At 40.9% G+C, this 24561-nt stretch overlaps 1 annotated feature.

Moving 5' to 3' along the window:
• Positions 1 to 24561: part of a centromere (Linear centromere model derived predominantly from reads generated in PMID: 17803354. This region does not represent an actual centromere sequence, as long-range ordering of repeats and unmapped WGS contigs is not provided by the model. For details of model production, see http://arxiv.org/abs/1307.0035.) that runs on past both edges of the window.

Raw genomic sequence — 24561 nt, forward strand, 5'->3', positions numbered from 1 at the left:
GTGGTTTGTGGTGGAAAAGGAAATATCTTCACCTAAATACTAGATAGAAGCATTCTCAGAAGCTTCTCTGTGATGACTGCATTCAACTCACGGAGTTGAACACTCCTTTTGAGAGCGCAGTTTTGAAACTCTCTTTCTGTGGCATCCGCAAGGGGACATGTGGACCTCTTTGAAGATTTCGTTGGAAACGGAATCATCTTCACATAAAAACTATACAGAAGCAGTCTCAGAATCTTCTTTGTGATGTTTGCATTCAAATCCCAGAGTTGAACTTTCCTTTCAAAGTTCACGTTTGAAACACTCTTTTTGCAGGATCTACAAGTGGATATTTGGACCACTCTGTGTCCTTCGTTCGAAACGGGTATATCTTCACATGACATCTAGACAGAAGCTTTCTCAGAAAATTCTTTGGGATGATTGAGTGGAACTCACAGAGCTGAACATTCCTTGCGATGTAGCAGTTTAGAAACACACTTTCTGCAGAATCTGCAAGTGCATATTTGGACATCTCTGAGGAATTCGTTGGAAACGGGATAATTTCAGCTGACTAAACAGAAGCATTCTCAGAACCTTCTTCGTGATGTCTGCATTCAACTCACAGTGTGGAACCTTTCTTTGATAGTTCAGGTTTGAAACACTCTTTTCGTAGAAACTGCAAGGGGATAATTGCAGTTCTTTGAGGCCTACCGTCGTAAAGGAAATAACTTCCTATAGAAAGAAGACAGAAGCATTCTCAGAACCCTCTTCGTGATGTTTGCATTCAACTCACAGTGCTGAACCTTTCTTTGATAGTTCAGCTTTGAAACACTCTTCTTGTAGAAACTGCAAGTGGATATTTGGTCCTCTCTGAGGATTTCGTTGGAAACGGGATAAACCGCACAGAACTAAACAGAAGAACTCTCAGAGCCCTCTTCGTGATGTTTGCATTCAACTCACAGTGCTGAACCTTTCTTTGATAGTGCAGCTTTGAAACACTCTTTTTGTAGAAACTGCAAGTGGATATTTGGTCCTCTCTGAGGATTTCGTTGGAAACGGGATAAACCGCACAGAACTAAAACAGAAGCATTCACAGAAAACTCTTGGTGACGACTGAGTTTAACTCACAGAGCTGAACATTCCTTTGGATGGAGCAGTTTCGAAACACACTATTTGTAGAATCTGCAAGTGGATATTTGGGCCTCTCTGAGGATTTCGTTGGAAACGGGATAAAACGCACAGAACTAAAACAGAAGCATTCTCAGAAACTACTTTGTGATGATTGCATTCAAGTCACAGAGTTGAACATTCCCTTTGACAGAGCAGTTTGGAAACTCTCTTTGTGTAGAATCTGCAAGTGGAGATATGGACCGCTTTGAGGCCTATGGTAGTAAAGGAAATAGCTTCATATAAAAGCTAGACAGTAGCATTCTCAGAAACTTCTTTGTGATGCTTGCATTCAACTCACAGAGTTGAACTTTCCTTTCGAGAGAGAAGCTTTGAAACACTCTTTTTCCAGAATGTGCAAGTGGACATTTGGGGAGCTTTGAGGCCTGGGGTGGAAAAGGAATTATCTTCCCGTAAAAGCTAGATAGAAGCATTGTCAGAAACTTCTTTGTGATGATTGCATTCAACTCACAGAGTTGAAGGTTCCTTTTCAAACAGCAGTTTCCAATCACTCTTTCTGTGGAATCTGCAAGTGGATATTTCGACCTCTTTGAAGATTTCGTTGGAAACGGGAGAATCTTCACAGAAAAGCTCAACAGAAGCATTCTCAGAAACTTCTCTGTGATGTTTGTGTTCAACTCCCAGAGTTTCACGTTGCTTTTCATAGAGTAGTTCTGAAACATGCTTTTCGTAGTGTCTGCAAGTGGACATTTGGAGCGCTTTCAGGCCTGTGGTGGAAAACGAATTATGGTCACATAAAAACTGGAGAGAAGCCTTCTCAGAAACTTCTCTGTGATGATTGCATTCAACTCACAGAGTTGAACCCTCCTATGGATAGAGCAGTGTTGAAACTCTCTTTTTGTGGAATCTGCAAGTGGATATGTGGACCTCTCCGAAGATGTCTTTGGAAACGGGAATATCTTCACATAAAAACTAAACAGAAGCATTCTCAGAAACTTCTTGGTGATGTTTGCATTCAAATCCCAGAGTTGAACCTTCCTTTGATAGTTCAGGTTTGAAACACTCTTTCTGTAGGATCTGCAAGTGGCTATTTGGACCACTCTGTGGCCTTCGTTCGAAACGGGTATATCTTCGCATAAAATCTAGACAGAAGCATTCTCAGAAAATACTTTGTGATGATTGAGTTTAAATCACAGAGCTGACCATTCCTTTGGATGGAGCAGGTTTGAGACACACTTTTTGTAGAATCTACAAGTGGATATTTGGACCTCTCTGAGGATTTCGTTGGAAACGGGATAACTGCACCTAACTAAACGGAAGCATTCTCAGAAACTGCTTTGTGATGATTGCATTCACCTCACAGAGTTGAACATTCCTATTGATAGAGCAGTTTGGAAACACTCTTGTTGCGGAATGTGCAAGTGGAGATTTGGAGCGCTTTGAGGCCTGTGGTAGTAAAGGGAATAGCTTCATAGAAAAACTAGACAGATGCATTCTCAGGAACTTTTTGGTGATGTTTGTATTCAACTCCCAGAGTTGAACTTTCCTTTGGAAAGAGCAGCTATGAAACACTCTTTTTCTAGAATCTGCAAGTGGACGTTTGGAGGGCTTTGTGGTTTGTGGTGGAAAAGGAAATATCTTCACCTAAATACTAGATAGAAGCATTCTCAGAAGCTTCTCTGTGATGACTGCATTCAACTCACGGAGTTGAACACTCCTTTTGAGAGCGCAGTTTTGAAACTCTCTTTCTGTGGCATCTGCAAGGGGACATGTAGACCTCTTTGAAGATTTCGTTGGAAACGGAATCATCTTCACATAAAAACTATACAGAAGCAGTCTCAGAATCTTCTTTGTGATGTTTGCATTCAAATCCCAGAGTTGAACTTTCCTTTCAAAGTTCACGTTTGAAACACTCTTTTTGCAGAATCTACAAGTGGATATTTGGACCACTCTGTGTCCTTCGTTCGAAACGGGTATATCTTCACATGACATCTAGACAGAAGCTTTCTCAGAAAATTCTTTAGGATGATTGAGTGGAACTCACAGAGCTGAACATTCCTTGCGATGTAGCAGTTTAGAAACACACTTTCTGCAGAATCTGCAAGTGCATATTTGGACCTCTCTGAGGAATTCGTTGGAAACGGGATAATTTCAGCTGACTAAACAGAAGCATTCTCAGAACCTTCTTCGTGATGTCTGCATTCAACTCACAGTGTGGAACCTTTCTTTGATAGTTCAGGTTTGAAACACTCTTTTTGTAGAAACTGCAAGGGGATAATTGCACTTCTTTGAGGCCTACCGTAGTAAAGGAAATAACTTCCTATAGAAAGAAGACAGAAGCATTCTCAGAACCCTCTTCGTGATGTTTGCATTCAACTCACAGTGCTGAACCTTTCTTTGATAGTTCAGCTTTGAAACACTCTTCTTGTAGAAACTGCAAGTGGATATTTGGTCCTCTCTGAGGATTTCGTTGGAAACGGGATAAACCGCACAGAACTAAACAGAAGAATTCTCAGTAGCCCTCTTCGTGATGTTTGCATTCAACTCACAGTGCTGAACCTTTCTTTGATAGTGCAGCTTTGAAACACTCTTTTTGTAGAAACTGCAAGTGGATGTTTGGTCCTCTCTGAGGATTTCGTTGGAAACGGGATAAACCGCACAGAACTAAAACAGAAGCATTCACAGAAAACACTTGGTGACGACTGAGTTTAACTCACAGAGCTGAACATTCCTTTGGATGGAGCAGTTTCGAAACACACTATTTGTAGAATGTGCAAGTGGATATGTGGGCCTCTCTGAGGATTTCGTTGGAAATGGGATAAACCGCACAGAACTAAACAGAAGCATTCTCAGAAACTACTTTGTGATGATTGCATTCAAGTCACAGAGTTGAACATTCCCTTTGACAGAGCAGTTTGGAAACTCTCTTTGTGTAGAATCTGCAAGTGGAGATATGGACCGCTTTGAGGCCTATGGTAGTAAAGGAAATAGCTTCATATAAAAGCTAGACAGTAGCATTCTCAGAAACTTCGTTGTGATGCTTGCATTCAACTCACAGAGTTGAACTTTCCTTTCGAGAGAGAAGCCTTGAAACACTCTTTTTCCAGAATCTGCAAGTGGACATTTGGAGGGCTTTGAGGCCTGTGGTGGAAAAGGAATTATCTTCCCGTAAAAGCTAGATAGAAGCATTGTCAGAAACTTCTTTGTGATGATTGCATTCAACTCACAGAGTTGAAGGTTCCTTTTCAAAGAGCAGTTTCCAATCACTCTTTCTGTGGAATCTGCAAGTGGATATTTGGACCTCTTTGAAGATTTCGTTGGAAACGGGAGAATCTTCACAGAAAAGCTAAACAGAAGCATTCTCAGAAACTTCTCAGTGATGTTTGTGTTCAACTCCCAGAGTTTCACATTGCTTTTCATAGAGTAGTTCTGAAACATGCTTTTCGTAGTGTCTGCAAGTGGACATTTGGAGCGCTTTCAGGCCTGTGGTGGAAAACGAATTATGGTCACATAAAAACTGGAGAGAAGCCTTCTCAGAAACTTCTCTGTGATGATTGCATTCAACTCACAGAGTTGAACCCTCCTATGGATAGAGCAGTGTTGAAACTCTCTTTTTGTGGAATCTGCAAGTGGATATGTGGACCTCTCCGAAGATGTCTTTGGAAACGGGAATATCTTCACATAAAAACTAAACAGAAGCATTCTCAGAAACTTCTTGGTGATGTTTGCATTCAAATCCCAGAGTTGAACCTTCCTTTGATAGTTCAGGTTTGAAACACTCTTTTTGTAGGATCTGCAAGTGGATATTTGGACCACTCTGTGGCCTTCGTTCGAAACGGGTATATCTTCGCATAAAATCTAGACAGAAGCATTCTCAGAAAATACTTTGTGATGATTGAGTTTAACTCACAGAGCTGAACATTCCTTTGGATGGAGCAGGTTTGAGACACACCTTTTGTAGAATCTACAAGTGGATATTTGGACCTCTCTGAGGATTTCGTTGGAAACGGGATAACTGCACCTAACTAAACGGAAGCATTCTCAGAAACTGCTTTGTGATGATTGCATTCACCTCACAGAGTTGAACATTCCTATTGATAGAGCAGTTTGGAAACACTCTTGTTGTGGAATGTGCAAGTGGAGATTTGGAGCGCTTTGAGGCCTATGGTAGTAAAGGGAATAGCTTCATAGAAAAACTAGACAGATGCATTCTCAGGAACTTTTTGGTGATGTTTGTATTCAACTCCCAGAGTTGAACTTTCCTTTGGAAAGAGCAGCTATGAAACACTCTTTTTCTAGAATCTGCAAGTGGACGTTTGGAGGGCTTTGTGGTTTGTGGTGGAAAAGGAAATATCTTCACCTAAATACTAGATAGAAGCATTCTCAGAAGCTTCTCTGTGATGACTGCATTCAACTCACGGAGTTGAACACTCCTTTTGAGAGCGCAGTTTTGAAACTCTCTTTCTGTGGCATCTGCAAGGGGACATGTAGACCTCTTTGAAGATTTCGTTGGAAACGGAATCATCTTCACATAAAAACTATACAGAAGCAGTCTCAGAAATCTTCTTTGTGATGTTTGCATTCAAATCCCAGAGTTGAACTTTCCTTTCAAAGTTCACGTTTGAAACACTCTTTTTGCAGGATCTACAAGTGGATATTTGGACCACTCTGTGTCCTTCGTTCGAAACGGGTATATCTTCACACGACATCTAGACAGAAGCTTTCTCAGAAAATTCTTTGGGATGATTGAGTGGAACTCACAGAGCTGAACATTCCTTGCGATGTAGCAGTTTAGAAACACACTTTCTGCAGAATCTGCAAGTGCATATTTGGACCTCTCTGAGGAATTCGTTGGAAACGGGATAATTTCAGCTGACTAAACAGAAGCATTCTCAGAACCTTCTTCGTGATGTCTGCATTCAACTCACAGTGTGGAACCTTTCTTTGATAGTTCAGGTTTGAAACACTCTTTTTGTAGAAACTGCAAGGGGATAATTGCACTTCTTTGAGGCCTACCGTAGTAAAGGAAATAACTTCCTATAGAAAGAAGACAGAAGCATTCTCAGAACCCTCTTCGTGATGTTTGCATTCAACTCACAGTGCTGAACCTTTCTTTGATAGTTCAGCTTTGAAACACTCTTCTTGTAGAAACTGCAAGTGGATATTTGGTCCTCTCTGAGGATTTCGTTGGAAACGGGATAAACCGCACAGAACTAAACAGAAGCATTCTCAGAACCTTCTTCGTGATGTTTGCATTCAACTCACAGTGTTGAACCTTTCTTTGATAGTTCAGGTTTGAAACGGTCTTTCTGTAGAAACTGCAAGTAGATATTTGGACCTCTCTGAGGATTTCGTTGGAAACGGGATAAACCGCACAGAACTAAAACAGAAGCATTCACAGAAAACTCTTGGTGACGACTGAGTTTAACTCACAGAGCTGAACATTCCTTTGGATGGAGCAGTTTCGAAACACACTATTTGTAGAATGTGCAAGTGGATATTTGGGCCTCTCTGAGGATTTCGTTGGAAACGGGATAAACCGCACAGAACTAAACAGAAGCATTCTCAGAAACTACTTTGTGATGATTGCATTCAAGTCACAGAGTTGAACATTCCCTTTGACAGAGCAGTTTGGAAACTCTCTTTCTGTAGAATCTGCAAGTGGAGATATGGACCGCTTTGAGGCCTATGGTAGTAAAGGAAATAGCTTCATATAAAAGCTAGACAGTAGCATTCTCAGAAACTTCTTTGTGATGCTTGCATTCAACTCACAGAGTTGAACTTTCCTTTCAAGAGAGAAGCTTTGAAACACTCTTTTTCCAGAATCTGCAAGTGGACATTTGGAGGGCTTTGAGGCCTGTGGTAGAAAAGGAATTAACTTCCCGTAAAAGCTAGATAGAAGCATTGTCAGAAACTTCTTTGTGATGATTGCATTCAACTCACAGAGTTGAAGGTTCCTTTTCAAACAGCAGTTTCCAATCACTCTTTCTGTGGAATCTGCAAGTGGATATTTGGGCCTCTCTGAGGATTTCGTTGGAAACGGGATAAAACGCACAGAACTAAAACAGAAGCATTCTCAGAAACTTCTCTGTGATGTTTGTGTTCAACTCCCAGAGTTTCACGTTGCTTTTCATAGAGTAGTTCTGAAACATGCTTTTCGTAGTGTCTGCAAGTGGACATTTGGAGCGCTTTCAGGCCTGTGGTGGAAAACGAATTATGGTCACATAAAAACTGGAGAGAAGCCTTCTCAGAAACTTCTCTGTGATGATTGCATTCAACTCACAGAGTTGAACCCTCCTATGGATAGAGCAGTGTTGAAACTCTCTTTTTGTGGAATCTGCAAGTGGATATGTGGACCTCTCCGAAGATGTCTTTGGAAACGGGAATATCTTCACATAAAAACTAAACAGAAGCATTCTCAGAAACTTCTTGGTGATGTTTGCATTCAAATCCCAGAGTTGAACCTTCCTTTGATAGTTCAGGTTTGAAACACTCTTTCTGTAGGATCTGCAAGTGGCTATTTGGACCACTCTGTGGCCTTCGTTCGAAACGGGTATATCTTCGCATAAAATCTAGACAGAAGCATTCTCAGAAAATACTTTGTGATGATTGAGTTTAAATCACAGAGCTGACCATTCCTTTGGATGGAGCAGGTTTGAGACACACTTTTTGTAGAATCTACAAGTGGATATTTGGACCTCTCTGAGGATTTCGTTGGAAACGGGATAACTGCACCTAACTAAACGGAAGCATTCTCAGAAACTGCTTTGTGATGATTGCATTCACCTCACAGAGTTGAACATTCCTATTGATAGAGCAGTTTGGAAACACTCTTGTTGTGGAATGTGCAAGTGGAGATTTGGAGCGCTTTGAGGCCTATGGTAGTAAAGGGAATAGCTTCATAGAAAAACTAGACAGATGCATTCTCAGGAACCTTTTGGTGATGTTTGTATTCAACTCCCAGAGTTGAACTTTCCTTTGGAAAGAGCAGCTATGAAACACTCTTTTTCTAGAATCTGCAAGTGGACGTTTGGAGGGCTTTGTGGTTTGTGGTGGAAAAGGAAATATCTTCACCTAAATACTAGATAGAAGCATTCTCAGAAGCTTCTCTGTGATGACTGCATTCAACTCACGGAGTTGAACACTCCTTTTGAGAGCGCAGTTTTGAAACTCTCTTTCTGTGGCATCTGCAAGGGGACATGTAGACCTCTTTGAAGATTTCGTTGGAAACGGAATCATCTTCACATAAAAACTATACAGAAGCAGTCTCAGAATCTTCTTTGTGATGTTTGCATTCAAATCCCAGAGTTGAACTTTCCTTTCAAAGTTCACGTTTGAAACACTCTTTTTGCAGGATCTACAAGTGGATATTTGGACCACTCTGTGTCCTTCGTTCGAAACGGGTATATCTTCACACGACATCTAGACAGAAGCTTTCTCAGAAAATTCTTTGGGATGATTGAGTGGAACTCACAGAGCTGAACATTCCTTGCGATGTAGCAGTTTAGAAACACACTTTCTGCAGAATCTGCAAGTGCATATTTGGACCTCTCTGAGGAATTCGTTGGAAACGGGATAATTTCAGCTGACTAAACAGAAGCATTCTCAGAACCTTCTTCGTGATGTCTGCATTCAACTCACAGTGTGGAACCTTTCTTTGATAGTTCAGGTTTGAAACACTCTTTTTGTAGAAACTGCAAGGGGATAATTGCACTTCTTTGAGGCCTACCGTAGTAAAGGAAATAACTTCCTATAGAAAGAAGACAGAAGCATTCTCAGAACCCTCTTCGTGATGTTTGCATTCAACTCACAGTGCTGAACCTTTCTTTGATAGTTCAGCTTTGAAACACTCTTCTTGTAGAAACTGCAAGTGGATATTTGGTCCTCTCTGAGGATTTCGTTGGAAACGGGATAAACCGCACAGAACTAAACAGAAGCATTCTCAGAGCCCTCTTCGTGATGTTTGCATTCAACTCACAGTGCTGAACCTTTCTTTGATAGTGCAGCTTTGAAACACTCTTTTTGTAGAAACTGCAAGTGGATGTTTGGTCCTCTCTGAGGATTTCGTTGGAAACGGGATAAACCGCACAGAACTAAAACAGAAGCATTGTCAGAAACTTCTTTGTGATGATTGCATTCAACTCACAGAGTTGAAGGTTCCTTTTCAAACAGCAGTTTCCAATCACTCTTTCTGTGGAATCTGCAAGTGGATATTTGGGCCTCTCTGAGGATTTCGTTGGAAACGGGATAAAACGCACAGAACTAAAACAGAAGCATTCTCAGAAACTTCTCTGTGATGTTTGTGTTCAACTCCCAGAGTTTCACGTTGCTTTTCATAGAGTAGTTCTGAAACATGCTTTTCGTAGTGTCTGCAAGTGGACATTTGGAGCGCTTTCAGGCCTGTGGTGGAAAACGAATTATGGTCACATAAAAACTGGAGAGAAGCCTTCTCAGAAACTTCTCTGTGATGATTGCATTCAACTCACAGAGTTGAACCCTCCTATGGATAGAGCAGTGTTGAAACTCTCTTTTTGTGGAATCTGCAAGTGGATATGTGGACCTCTCCGAAGATGTCTTTGGAAACGGGAATATCTTCACATAAAAACTAAACAGAAGCATTCTCAGAAACTTCTTGGTGATGTTTGCATTCAAATCCCAGAGTTGAACCTTCCTTTGATAGTTCAGGTTTGAAACACTCTTTCTGTAGGATCTGCAAGTGGCTATTTGGACCACTCTGTGGCCTTCGTTCGAAACGGGTATATCTTCGCATAAAATCTAGACAGAAGCATTCTCAGAAAATACTTTGTGATGATTGAGTTTAAATCACAGAGCTGACCATTCCTTTGGATGGAGCAGGTTTGAGACACACTTTTTGTAGAATCTACAAGTGGATATTTGGACCTCTCTGAGGATTTCGTTGGAAACGGGATAACTGCACCTAACTAAACGGAAGCATTCTCAGAAACTGCTTTGTGATGATTGCATTCACCTCACAGAGTTGAACATTCCTATTGATAGAGCAGTTTGGAAACACTCTTGTTGTGGAATGTGCAAGTGGAGATTTGGAGCGCTTTGAGGCCTATGGTAGTAAAGGGAATAGCTTCATAGAAAAACTAGACAGATGCATTCTCAGGAACTTTTTGGTGATGTTTGTATTCAACTCCCAGAGTTGAACTTTCCTTTGGAAAGAGCAGCTATGAAACACTCTTTTTCTAGAATCTGCAAGTGGACGTTTGGAGGGCTTTGTGGTTTGTGGTGGAAAAGGAAATATCTTCACCTAAATACTAGATAGAAGCATTCTCAGAAGCTTCTCTGTGATGACTGCATTCAACTCACGGAGTTGAACACTCCTTTTGAGAGCGCAGTTTTGAAACTCTCTTTCTGTGGCATCTGCAAGGGGACATGTAGACCTCTTTGAAGATTTCGTTGGAAACGGAATCATCTTCACATAAAAACTATACAGAAGCAGTCTCAGAATCTTCTTTGTGATGTTTGCATTCAAATCCCAGAGTTGAACTTTCCTTTCAAAGTTCACGTTTGAAACACTCTTTTTGCAGGATCTACAAGTGGATATTTGGACCACTCTGTGTCCTTCGTTCGAAACGGGTATATCTTCACAGGACATCTAGACAGAAGCTTTCTCAGAAAATTCTTTGGGATGATTGAGTTGAACTCACAGAGCTGAACATTCCTTGCGATGTAGCAGTTTAGAAACACACTTTCTGCAGAATCTGCAAGTGCATATTTGGACCTCTCTGAGGAATTCGTTGGAAACGGGATAATTTCAGCTGACTAAACAGAAGCATTCTCAGAACCTTCTTCGTGATGTCTGCATTCAACTCACAGTGTGGAACCTTTCTTTGATAGTTCAGGTTTGAAACACTCTTTTTGTAGAAACTGCAAGGGGATAATTGCACTTCTTTGAGGCCTACCGTCGTAAAGGAAATAACTTCCTATAGAAAGAAGACAGAAGCATTCTCAGAACCCTCTTCGTGATGTTTGCATTCAACTCACAGTGCTGAACCTTTCTTTGATAGTTCAGCTTTGAAACACTCTTCTTGTAGAAACTGCAAGTGGATATATGGTCCTTTCTGAGGATTTCGTTGGAAACGGGATAAACCGCACAGAACTAAACAGAAGCATTCTCTGAACCTTCTTCGTGATGTTTGCATTCAACTCACAGTGTTGAACCTTTCTTTGATAGTTCAGGTTGGAAACGGTCTTTCTGTAGAAACTGCAAGAAGATATTTGGACCTCTCTGAGGATTTCGTTGGAAACGGGATAAACCGCACAGAACTAAAACAGAAGCATTCACAGAAAACTCTTGGTGACGACTGAGTTTAACTCACAGAGCTGAACATTCCTTTGGATGGAGCAGTTTCGAAACACACTATTTGTAGAATGTGCAAGTGGATATTTGGGCCTCTCTGAGGATTTCGCTGGAAACGGGATAAACCGCACAGAACTAAACAGAAGCATTCTCAGAAACTACTTTGTGATGATTGCATTCAAGTCACAGAGTTGAACATTCCCTTTGACAGAGCAGTTTGGAAACTCTCTTTGTGTAGAATCTGCAAGTGGAGATATGGACCGCTTTGAGGCCTATGGTAGTAAAGGAAATAGCTTCATATAAAAGCTAGACAGTAGCATTCTCAGAAACTTCCTTGTGATGCTTGCATTCAACTCACAGAGTTGAACTTTCCTTTCGAGAGAGAAGCTTTGAAACACTCTTTTTCCAGAATCTGCAAGTGGACATTTGGAGGGCTTTGAGGCCTGTGGTGGAAAAGGAATTATCTTCCCGTAAAAGCTAGATAGAAGCATTGTCAGAAACTTCTTTGTGATGATTGCATTCAACTCACAGAGTTGAAGGTTCCTTTTCAAAGAGCAGTTTCCAATCACTCTTTCTGTGGAATATGCAAGTGGATATTTGGACCTATTTTGAAGATTTCGTTGGAAACGGGAGAATCTTCACAGAAAAGCTAAACAGAAGCATTCTCAGAAACTTCTCTGTGATGTTTGTGTTCAACTCCCAGAGTTTCACATTGCTTTTCATAGAGTAGTTCTGAAACATGCTTTTCGTAGTGTCTACAAGTGGACATTTGGAGCGCTTTCAGGCCTGTGGTGGAAAACGAATTATGGTCACATAAAAACTGGAGAGAAGCCTTCTCAGAAACTTCTCTGTGATGATTGCATTCAACTCACAGAGTTGAACCCTCCTATGGATAGAGCAGTGTTGAAACTCTCTTTTTGTGGAATCTGCAAGTGGATATGTGGACCTCTCCGAAGATGTCTTTGGAAACGGGAATATCTTCACATAAAAACTAAACAGAAGCATTCTCAGAAACTTCTTGGTGATGTTTGCATTCAAATCCCAGAGTTGAACCTTCCTTTGATAGTTCAGGTTTGAAACACTATTTTTGTAGGATCTGCAAGTGGATATTTGGACCACTCTGTGGCCTTCGTTCGAAACGGGTATATCTTCGCATAAAATCTAGACAGAAGCATTCTCAGAAAATACTTTGTGATGATTGAGTTTAACTCACAGAGCTGAACATTCCTTTGGATGGAGCAGGTTTGAGACACACTTTTTGTAGAATCTACAAGTGGATATTTGGACCTCTCTGAGGATTTCGTTGGAAACGCGATAACTGCACCTAACTAAACGGAAGCATTCTCAGAAACTGCTTTGTGATGATTGCATTCACCTCACAGAGTTGAACATTCCTATTGATAGAGCAGTTTGGAAACACTCTTGTTGTGGAATGTGCAAGTGGAGATTTGGAGCGCTTTGAGGCCTATGGTAGTAAAGGGAATAGCTTCATAGAAAAACTAGACAGATGCATTCTCAGGAACTTTTTGGTGATGTTTGTATTCAACTCCCAGAGTTGAACTTTCCTTTGGAAAGAGCAGCTATGAAACACTCTTTTTCTAGAATCTGCAAGTGGACGTTTGGAGGGCTTTGTGGTTTGTGGTGGAAAAGGAAATATCTTCACCTAAATACTAGATAGAAGCATTCTCAGAAGCTTCTCTGTGATGACTGCATTCAACTCACGGAGTTGAACACTCCTTTTGAGAGCGCAGTTTTGAAACTCTCTTTCTGTGGCATCTGCAAGGGGACATGTAGACCTCTTTGAAGATTTCGTTGGAAACGGAATCATCTTCACATAAAAACTATACAGAAGCAGTCTCAGAATCTTCTTTGTGATGTTTGCATTCAAATCCCAGAGTTGAACTTTCCTTTCAAAGTTCACGTTTGAAACACTCTTTTTGCAGGATCTACAAGTGGATATTTGGACCACTCTGTGTCCTTCGTTCGAAACGGGTATATCTTCACACGACATCTAGACAGAAGCTTTCTCAGAAAATTCTTTGGGATGATTGAGTGGAACTCACAGAGCTGAACATTCCTTGCGATGGAGCAGTTTAGAAACACACTTTCTGCAGAATCTGCAAGTGCATATTTGGACCTCTCTGAGGAATTCGTTGGAAACGGGATAATTTCAGCTGACTAAACAGAAGCATTCTCAGAACCTTCTTCGTGATGTCTGCATTCAACTCACAGTGTGGAACCTTTCTTTGATAGTTCAGGTTTGAAACACTCTTTTTGTAGAAACTGCAAGGGGATAATTGCACTTCTTTGAGGCCTACCGTAGTAAAGGAAATAACTTCCTATAGAAAGAAGACAGAAGCATTCTCAGAACCCTCTTCGTGATGTTTGCATTCAACTCACAGTGCTGAACCTTTCTTTGATAGTTCAGCTTTGAAACACTCTTCTTGTAGAAACTGCAAGTGGATATTTGGTCCTCTCTGAGGATTTCGTTGGAAACGGGATAAACCGCACAGAACTAAACAGAAGAATTCTCAGAGCCCTCTTCGTGATGTTTGCATTCAACTCACAGTGCTGAACCTTTCTTTGATAGTGCAGCTTTGAAACACTCTTTTTGTAGAAACTGCAAGTGGATGTTTGGTCCTCTCTGAGGATTTCGTTGGAAACGGGATAAACCGCACAGAACTAAAACAGAAGCATTGTCAGAAACTTCTTTGTGATGATTGCATTCAACTCACAGAGTTGAAGGTTCCTTTTCAAACAGCAGTTTCCAATCACTCTTTCTGTGGAATCTGCAAGTGGATATTTGGGCCTCTCTGAGGATTTCGTTGGAAACGGGATAAAACGCACAGACCTAAAACAGAAGCATTCTCAGAAACTTCTCTGTGATGTTTGTGTTCAACTCCCAGAGTTTCACGTTGCTTTTCATAGAGTAGTTCTGAAACATGCTTTTCGTAGTGTCTGCAAGTGGACATTTGGAGCGCTTTCAGGCCTGTGGTGGAAAACGAATTATGGTCACATAAAAACTGGAGAGAAGCCTTCTCAGAAACTTCTCTGTGATGATTGCATTCAACTCACAGAGTTGAACCCTCCTATGGATAGAGCAGTGTTGAAACTCTCTTTTTGTGGAACCTGCAAGTGGATATGTGGACCTCTCCGAAGATGTCTTTGGAAACGGGAATATCTTCACATAAAAACTAAACAGAAGCATTCTCAGAAACTTCTTGGTGATGTTTGCATTCAAATCCCAGAGTTGAACCTTCCTTTGATAGTTCAGGTTTGAAACACTCTTTCTGTAGGATCTGCAAGTGGCTATTTGGACCACTCTGTGGCCTTCGTTCGAAACGGGTATATCTTCGCATAAAATCTAGACAGAAGCATTCTCAGAAAATACTTTGTGATGATTGAGTTTAAATCACAGAGCTGACCATTCCTTTGGATGGAGCAGGTTTGAGACACACTTTTTGTAGAATCTACAAGTGGATATTTGGACCTCTCTGAGGATTTCGTTGGAAACGGGATAACTGCACCTAACTAAACGGAAGCATTCTCAGAAACTGCTTTGTGATGATTGCATTCACCTCACAGAGTTGAACATTCCTATTGATAGAGCAGTTTGGAAACACTCTTGTTGTGGAATGTGCAAGTGGAGATTTGGAGCGCTTTGAGGCCTGTGGAAGTAAAGGGAATAGCTTCATAGAAAAACTAGACAGATGCATTCTCTGGAACTTTTTGGTGATGTTTGTATTCAACTCCCAGAGTTGAACATTCCTTTGGAAAGAGCAGCTATGAAACCCTCTTTTTCTAGAATCTGCAAGTGGACGTTTGGAGGGCTTTGTGGTTTGTGGTGGAAAAGGAAATATCTTCACCTAAATACTAGATAGAAACATTCTCAGAAGCTTCTCTGTGATGACTGCATTCAACTCACGGAGTTGAACACTCCTTTTGAGAGCGCAGTTTTGAAACTCTCTTTCAGTGGCATCTGCAAGGGGACATGTAGACCTCTTTGAAGATTTCGTTGGAAACGGAATCATCTTCACATCAAAACTATACAGAAGCAGTCTCAGAATCTTCTTTGTGATGTTTGCATTCAAATCCCAGAGTTGAACTTTCCTTTCAAAGTTCACGTTTGAAACACTCTTTTTGCAGGATCTACAAGTGGATATTTGGACCACTCTGTGTCCTTCGTTCGAAACGGGTATATCTTCACATGACATCTAGACAGAACCTTTCTCAGAAAATTCTTTGTGATGATTGAGTTGAACTCACAGAGCTGAACATTCCTTGCGATGGAGCAGTTTAGAAACACACTTTCTGCAGAATCTGCAAGTGCATATTTGGACCTCTCTGAGGAATTCGTTGGAAACGGGATAATTTCAGCTGACTAAACAGAAGCATTCTCAGAACCTTCTTCGTGATGTCTGCATTCAACTCACAGTGTGGAACCTTTCTTTGATAGTTCAGGTTTGAAACACTCTTTTTGTAGAAACTGCAAGGGGATAATTGCACTTCTTTGAGGCCTACCGTAGTAAAGGAAATAACTTCCTATAGAAAGAAGACAGAAGCATTCTCAGAACCCTCTTCGTGATGTTTGCATTCAACTCACAGTGCTGAACCTTTCTTTGATAGTTCAGCTTTGAAACACTCTTCTTGTAGAAACTGCAAGTGGATATTTGGTCCTCTCTGAGGATTTCGTTGGAAACGGGATAAACCGCACAGAACTAAACAGAAGAATTCTCAGAGCCCTCTTCGTGATGTTTGCATTCAACTCACAGTGCTGAACCTTTCTTTGATAGTGCAGCTTTGAAACACTCTTTTTGTAGAAACTGCAAGTGGATGTTTGGTCCTCTCTGAGGATTTCGTTGGAAACGGGATAAACCGCACAGAACTAAAACAGAAGCATTGTCAGAAACTTCTTTGTGATGATTGCATTCAACTCACAGAGTTGAAGGTTCCTTTTCAAACAGCAGTTTCCAATCACTCTTTCTGTGGAATCTGCAAGTGGATATTTGGGCCTCTCTGAGGATTTCGTTGGAAACGGGATAAAACGCACAGAACTAAAACAGAAGCATTCTCAGAAAACTTCTCTGTGATGTTTGTGTTCAACTCCCAGAGTTTCACGTTGCTTTTCATAGAGTAGTTCTGAAACATGCTTTTCGTAGTGTCTGCAAGTGGACATTTGGAGCGCTTTCAGGCCTGTGGTGGAAAACGAATTATGGTCACATAAAAACTGGAGAGAAGCCTTCTCAGAAACTTCTCTGTGATGATTGCATTCAACTCACAGAGTTGAACCCTCCTATGGATAGAGCAGTGTTGAAACTCTCTTTTTGTGGAATCTGCAAGTGGATATGTGGACCTCTCCGAAGATGTCTTTGGAAACGGGAATATCTTCACATAAAAACTAAACAGAAGCATTCTCAGAAACTTCTTGGTGATGTTTGCATTCAAATCCCAGAGTTGAACCTTCCTTTGATAGTTCAGGTTTGAAACACTCTTTCTGTAGGATCTGCAAGTGGCTATTTGGACCACTCTGTGGCCTTCGTTCGAAACGGGTATATCTTCGCATAAAATCTAGACAGAAAGCATTCTCAGAAAATACTTTGTGATGATTGAGTTTAAATCACAGAGCTGACCATTCCTTTGGATGGAGCAGGTTTGAGACACACTTTTTGTAGAATCTACAAGTGGATATTTGGACCTCTCTGAGGATTTCGTTGGAAACGGGATAACTGCACCTAACTAAACGGAAGCATTCTCAGAAACTGCTTTGTGATGATTGCATTCACCTCACAGAGTTGAACATTCCTATTGATTGAGCAGTTTGGAAACACTCTTGTTGTGGAATGTGCAAGTGGAGATTTGGAGCGCTTTGAGGCCTATGGTAGTAAAGGGAATAGCTTCATAGAAAAACTAGACAGATGCATTCTCAGGAACTTTTTGGTGATGTTTGTATTCAACTCCCAGAGTTGAACTTTCCTTTGGAAAGAGCAGCTATGAAACACTCTTTTTCTAGAATCTGCAAGTGGACGTTTGGAGGGCTTTGTGGTTTGTGGTGGAAAAGGAAATATCTTCACCTAAATACTAGATAGAAGCATTCTCAGAAGCTTCTCTGTGATGACTGCATTCAACTCACGGAGTTGAACACTCCTTTTGAGAGCGCAGTTTTGAAACTCTCTTTCTGTGGCATCTGCAAGGGGACATGTAGACCTCTTTGAAGATTTCGTTGGAAACGGAATCATCTTCACATAAAAACTATACAGAAGCAGTCTCAGAATCTTCTTTGTGATGTTTGCATTCAAATCCCAGAGTTGAACTTTCCTTTCAAAGTTCACGTTTGAAACACTCTTTTTGCAGGATCTACAAGTGGATATTTGGACCACTCTGTGTCCTTCGTTCGAAACGGGTATATCTTCACACGACATCTAGACAGAAGCTTTCTCAGAAAATTCTTTGGGATGATTGAGTGGAACTCACAGAGCTGAACATTCCTTGCGATGTAGCAGTTTAGAAACACACTTTCTGCAGAATCTGCAAGTGCATATTTGGACCTCTCTGAGGAATTCGTTGGAAACGGGATAATTTCAGCTGACTAAACAGAAGCATTCTCAGAACCTTCTTCGTGATGTCTGCATTCAACTCACAGTGTGGAACCTTTCTTTGATAGTTCAGGTTTGAAACACTCTTTTTGTAGAAACTGCAAGGGGATAATTGCACTTCTTTGAGGCCTACCGTAGTAAAGGAAATAACTTCCTATAGAAAGAAGACAGAAGCATTCTCAGAACCTTCTTCGTGATGTTTGCATTCAACTCACAGTGTTGAACCGTTCCTTGATAGTTCAGGTTTGAAACGGTCTTTCTGTAGAAAATGCAAGTAGATATTTGGACCTCTCTGAGGATTTCGTTGGAAACGGGATAAACCGCACAGAACTAAAACGGAAGCATTCTCAGAGCCCTCTTCGTGATGTTTGCATTCAACTCACAGTGCTGAACCTTTCTTTGATAGTGCAGCTTTGAAACACTCTTTTTGTAGAAACTGCAAGTGGATATTTGGTCCTCTCTGAGGATTTCGTTGGAAACGGGATAAACCGCACAGAACTAAAACAGAAGCATTGTCAGAAACTTCTTTGTGATGATTGCATTCAACTCACAGAGTTGAAGGTTCCTTTTCAAACAGCAGTTTCCAATCACTCTTTCTGTGGAATCTGCAAGTGGATATTTGGGCCTCTCTGAGGATTTCGTTGGAAACGGGATAAAACGCACAGAACTAAAACAGAAGCATTCTCAGAAACTTCTCTGTGATGTTTGTGTTCAACTCCCAGAGTTTCACGTTGCTTTTCATAGAGTAGTTCTGAAACATGCTTTTCGTAGTGTCTGCAAGTGGACATTTGGAGCGCTTTCAGGCCTGTGGTGGAAAACGAATTATGGTCACATAAAAACTGGAGAGAAGCCTTCTCAGAAACTTCTCTGTGATGATTGCATTCAACTCACAGAGTTGAACCCTCCTATGGATAGAGCAGTGTTGAAACTCTCTTTTTGTGGAATCTGCAAGTGGATATGTGGACCTCTCCGAAGATGTCTTTGGAAACGGGAATATCTTCACATAAAAACTAAACAGAAGCATTCTCAGAAACTTCTTGGTGATGTTTGCATTCAAATCCCAGAGTTGAACCTTCCTTTGATAGTTCAGGTTTGAAACACTCTTTCTGTAGGATCTGCAAGTGGCTATTTGGACCACTCTGTGGCCTTCGTTCGAAACGGGTATATCTTCGCATAAAATCTAGACAGAAGCATTCTCAGAAAATACTTTGTGATGATTGAGTTTAAATCACAGAGCTGACCATTCCTTTGGATGGAGCAGGTTTGAGACACACTTTTTGTAGAATCTACAAGTGGATATTTGGACCTCTCTGAGGATTTCGTTGGAAACGGGATAACTGCACCTAACTAAACGGAAGCATTCTCAGAAACTGCTTTGTGATGATTGCATTCACCTCACAGAGTTGAACATTCCTATTGATAGAGCAGTTTGGAAACACTCTTGTTGTGGAATGTGCAAGTGGAGATTTGGAGCGCTTTGAGGCCTATGGTAGTAAAGGGAATAGCTTCATAGAAAAACTAGACAGATGCATTCTCAGGAACTTTTTGGTGATGTTTGTATTCAACTCCCAGAGTTGAACTTTCCTTTGGAAAGAGCAGCTATGAAACACTCTTTGTCTAGAATCTGCAAGTGGACGTTTGGAGGGCTTTGTGGTTTGTGGTGGAAAAGGAAATATCTTCACCTAAATACTAGATAGAAGCATTCTCAGAAGCTTCTCTGTGATGACTGCATTCAACTCACGGAGTTGAACACTCCTTTTGAGAGCGCAGTTTTGAAACTCTCTTTCTGTGGCATCTGCAAGGGGACATGTAGACCTCTTTGAAGATTTCGTTGGAAACGGAATCATCTTCACATAAAAACTATACAGAAGCAGTCTCAGAATCTTCTTTGTGATGTTTGCATTCAAATCCCAGAGTTGAACTTTCCTTTCAAAGTTCACGTTTGAAACACTCTTTTTGCAGGATCTACAAGTGGATATTTGGACCACTCTGTGTCCTTCGTTCGAAACGGGTATATCTTCACACGACATCTAGACAGAAGCTTTCTCAGAAAATTCTTTGGGATGATTGAGTGGAACTCACAGAGCTGAACATTCCTTGCGATGTAGCAGTTTAGAAACACACTTTCTGCAGAATCTGCAAGTGCATATTTGGACCTCTCTGAGGAATTCGTTGGAAACGGGATAATTTCAGCTGACTAAACAGAAGCATTCTCAGAACCTTCTTCGTGATGTCTGCATTCAACTCACAGTGTGGAACCTTTCTTTGATAGTTCAGGTTTGAAACACTCTTTTTGTAGAAACTGCAAGGGGATAATTGCACTTCTTTGAGGCCTACCGTAGTAAAGGAAATAACTTCTTATAGAAAGAAGACAGAAGCATTCTCAGAACCCTCTTCGTGATGTTTGCATTCAACTCACAGTGCTGAACCTTTCTTTGATAGTTCAGCTTTGAAACACTCTTCTTGTAGAAACTGCAAGTGGATATTTGGTCCTCTCTGAGGATTTCGTTGGAAACGGGATAAACCGCACAGAACTAAACAGAAGAATTCTCAGAGCCCTCTTCGTGATGTTTGCATTCAACTCACAGTGCTGAACCTTTCTTTGATAGTGCAGCTTTGAAACACTCTTTTTGTAGAAACTGCAAGTGGATGTTTGGTCCTCTCTGAGGATTTCGTTGGAAACGGGATAAACCGCACAGAACTAAAACAGAAGCATTCACAGAAAACTCTTGGTGACGACTGAGTTTAACTCACAGAGCTGAACATTCCTTTGGATGGAGCAGTTTCGAAACACACTATTTGTAGAATCTGCAAGTGGATATTTGGGCCTCTCTGAGGATTTCGTTGGAAACGGGATAAAACGCACAGAACTAAAACAGAAGCATTCTCAGAAACTACTTTGTGATGATTGCATTCAAGTCACAGAGTTGAACATTCCCTTTGACAGAGCAGTTTGGAAACTCTCTTTGTGTAGAATCTGCAAGTGGAGATATGGACCGCTTTGAGGCCTATGGTAGTAAAGGAAATAGCTTCATATAAAACCTAGACAGTAGCATTCTCAGAAACTTCTTTGTGATGCTTGCATTCAACTCACAGAGTTGAACTTTCCTTTCGAGAGAGAAGCTTTGAAACACTCTTTTTCCAGAATGTGCAAGTGGACATTTGGGGAGCTTTGAGGCCTGTGGAGGAAAAGGAATTATCTTCCCGTAAAAGCTAGATAGAAGCATTGTCAGAAACTTCTTTGTGATGATTGCATTCAACTCACAGAGTTGAAGGTTCCTTTTCAAACAGCAGTTTCCAATCACTCTTTCTGTGGAATCTGCAAGTGGATATTTCGACCTCTTTGAAGATTTCGTTGGAAACGGGAGAATCTTCACAGAAAAGCTAAACGGAAGCATTCTCAGAAACTTCTCTGTGATGTTTGTGTTCAACTCCCAGAGTTTCACGTTGCTTTTCATAGAGTAGTTCTGAAACATGCTTTTCGTAGTGTCTGCAAGTGGACATTTGGAGCGCTTTCAGGCCTGTGGTGGAAAACGAATTATGGTCACATAAAAACTGGAGAGAAGCCTTCTCAGAAACTTCTCTGTGATGATTGCATTCAACTCACAGAGTTGAACCCTCCTATGGATAGAGCAGTGTTGAAACTCTCTTTTTGTGGAATCTGCAAGTGGATATGTGGACCTCTCCGAAGATGTCTTTGGAAACGGGAATATCTTCACATAAAAACTAAACAGAAGCATTCTCAGAAACTTCTTGGTGATGTTTGCATTCAAATCCCAGAGTTGAACCTTCCTTTGATAGTTCAGGTTTGAAACACTCTTTCTGTAGGATCTGCAAGTGGCTATTTGGACCACTCTGTGGCCTTCGTTCGAAACGGGTATATCTTCGCATAAAATCTAGACAGAAAGCATTCTCAGAAAATACTTTGTGATGATTGAGTTTAAATCACAGAGCTGACCATTCCTTTGGATGGAGCAGGTTTGAGACACACTTTTTGTAGAATCTACAAGTGGATATTTGGACCTCTCTGAGGATTTCGTTGGAAACGGGATAACTGCACCTAACTAAACGGAGCATTCTCAGAAACTGCTTTGTGATGATTGCATTCACCTCACAGAGTTGAACATTTCTATTGATAGAGCAGTTTGGAAACACTCTTGTTGTGGAATGTGCAAGTGGAGATTTGGAGCGCTTCGAGGCCTATGGTAGTAAAGGGAATAGCTTCATAGAAAAACTAGACAGATGCATTCTCAGGAACTTTTTGGTGATGTTTGTATTCAACTCCCAGAGTTGAACTTTCCTTTGGAAAGAGCAGCTATGAGACACTGTTTCTCTAGAATCTGCAAGTGGACGTTTGGAGGGCTTTGTGGTTTGTGGTGGAAAAGGAAATATCTTCACCTAAATACTAGATAGAAGCATTCTCAGAAGCTTCTCTGTGATGACTGCATTCAACTCAGGGAGTTGAACACTCCTTTTGAGAGCGCAGTTTTGAAACTCTCTTTCTGTGGCATCTGCAAGGGGACATGTAGACCTCTTTGAAGATTTCGTTGGAAACGGAATCATCTTCACATAAAAACTATACAGAAGCAGTCTCAGAATCTTCTTTGTGATGTTTGCATTCAAATCCCAGAGTTGAACTTTCCTTTCAAAGTTCACGTTTGAAACACTCTTTTTGCAGGATCTACAAGTGGATATTTGGACCACTCTGTGTCCTTCGTTCGAAACGGGTATATCTTCACATGACATACTAGACAGAAGCTTTCTCAGAAAATTGTTTGGGATGATTGACTTGAACTCACAGAGCTGAGCATTCCTTGCGATGTAGCAGTTTAGAAACACACTTTCTGCAGAATCTGCAAGTGCATATTTGGACCTCTCTGAGGAATTCGTTGGAAACGGGATAATTTCAGCTGACTAAACAGAAGCATTCTCAGAACCTTCTTCGTGATGTCTGCATTCAACTCACAGTGTGGAACCTTTCCTTGATAGTTCAGGTTTGAAACACTCTTTTTGTAGAAACTGCAAGGGGATAATTGCACTCTTTGAGGAGTACCGTAGTAAAGGAAATAACTTCCTCTAAAAAGAAGACAGAAGCATTCTCAGAACCCTCTTCGTGATGTTTGCATTCAACTCACAGTGCTGAACCTTTCTTTGATAGTTCAGCTTTGAAACACTCTTTTTGTAGAAACTGCAAATGGATATTTGGTCCTCTCTGAGGATTTCTTTGGAAAAGGGATAAAACGCACAGAACTAAACAGAAGCATTCAAAGAAAACTCTTGGTGACGACTGAGTTTAACTCACAGAACTGAACATTCCTTTGGATGGAGCAGTTTCGAAACACACTATTTGTAGAATGTGCAAGTGGATATGTGGGCCTCTCTGAGGATTTCGATGGAAACGGGATAAACCGCACAGAACTAAACAGAAGCATTCTCAGAAACTACTTTGTGATGATTACATTCAAGTCACAGAGTAGAACATTCCCTTTGACAGAGCAGTTTGGAAACTCTCTTTGCGTAGAATCTGCAAGTGGAGATATGGACCGCTTTGAGGCCTATGGTAGTAAAGGAAATAGCTTCATATAAAAGCTAGACAGCAGCATTCTCAGAAACTTCTTTGTGATGCTTGCATTCAACTCACAGAGTTGAACTTTCCTTTCGAGAGAGAAGCTTTGAAACACTCTTTTTCCAGAATGTGCAAGTGGACATTTGGAGGGCTTTGAGGCCTGTGGTGGAAAAGGAATTATCTTCCCGTAAAAGCTAGATAGAAGCATTGTCAGAAACTTCTTTGTGATGATTGCATTCAACTCACAGAGTTGAAGGTTCCTTTTCAAAGAGCAGTTTCCAATCACTCTTTCTGTGGAATCTGCAAGTGGATATTTGGACCTATTTTGAAGATTTCGTTGGAAACGGGATAATCTTCACAGAAAAGCTAAACAGAAGCATTCTCAGAAACTTCTCTGTGATGTTTGTGTTCAACTCCCAGAGTTTCACATTGCTTTTCATAGAGTAGTTCTGAAACATGCTTTTCGTAGTGTCTGCAAGTGGACATTTGGAGCGCTTTCAGGCCTGTGGTGGAAAACGAATTATGGTCACATAAAAACTGGAGAGAAGCCTTCTCAGAAACTTCTCTGTGATGATTGCATTCAACTCACAGAGTTGAACCCTCCTATGGATAGAGCAGTGTTGAAACTCTCTTTTTGTGGAATCTGCAAGTGGATATGTGGACCTCTCCGAAGATGTCTTTGGAAACGGGAATATCTTCACATAAAAACTAAACAGAAGCATTCTCAGAAACTTCTTGGTGATGTTTGCATTCAAATCCCAGAGTTGAACCTTCCTTTGATAGTTCAGGTTTGAAACACTCTTTTTGTAGGATCTGCAAGTGGCTATTTGGACCACTCTGTGGCCTTCGTTCGAAACGGGTATATCTTCGCATAAAATCTAGACAGAAGCATTCTCAGAAAATACTTTGTGATGATTGAGTTGAACTCACAGAGCTGAACATTCCATTGGATGGAGCAGGTTTGAGAC

This window comes from Homo sapiens, chromosome 17 (assembly GCF_000001405.40).
Source record: "Homo sapiens chromosome 17, GRCh38.p14 Primary Assembly".
NCBI lineage: Eukaryota > Metazoa > Chordata > Mammalia > Primates > Hominidae > Homo > Homo sapiens.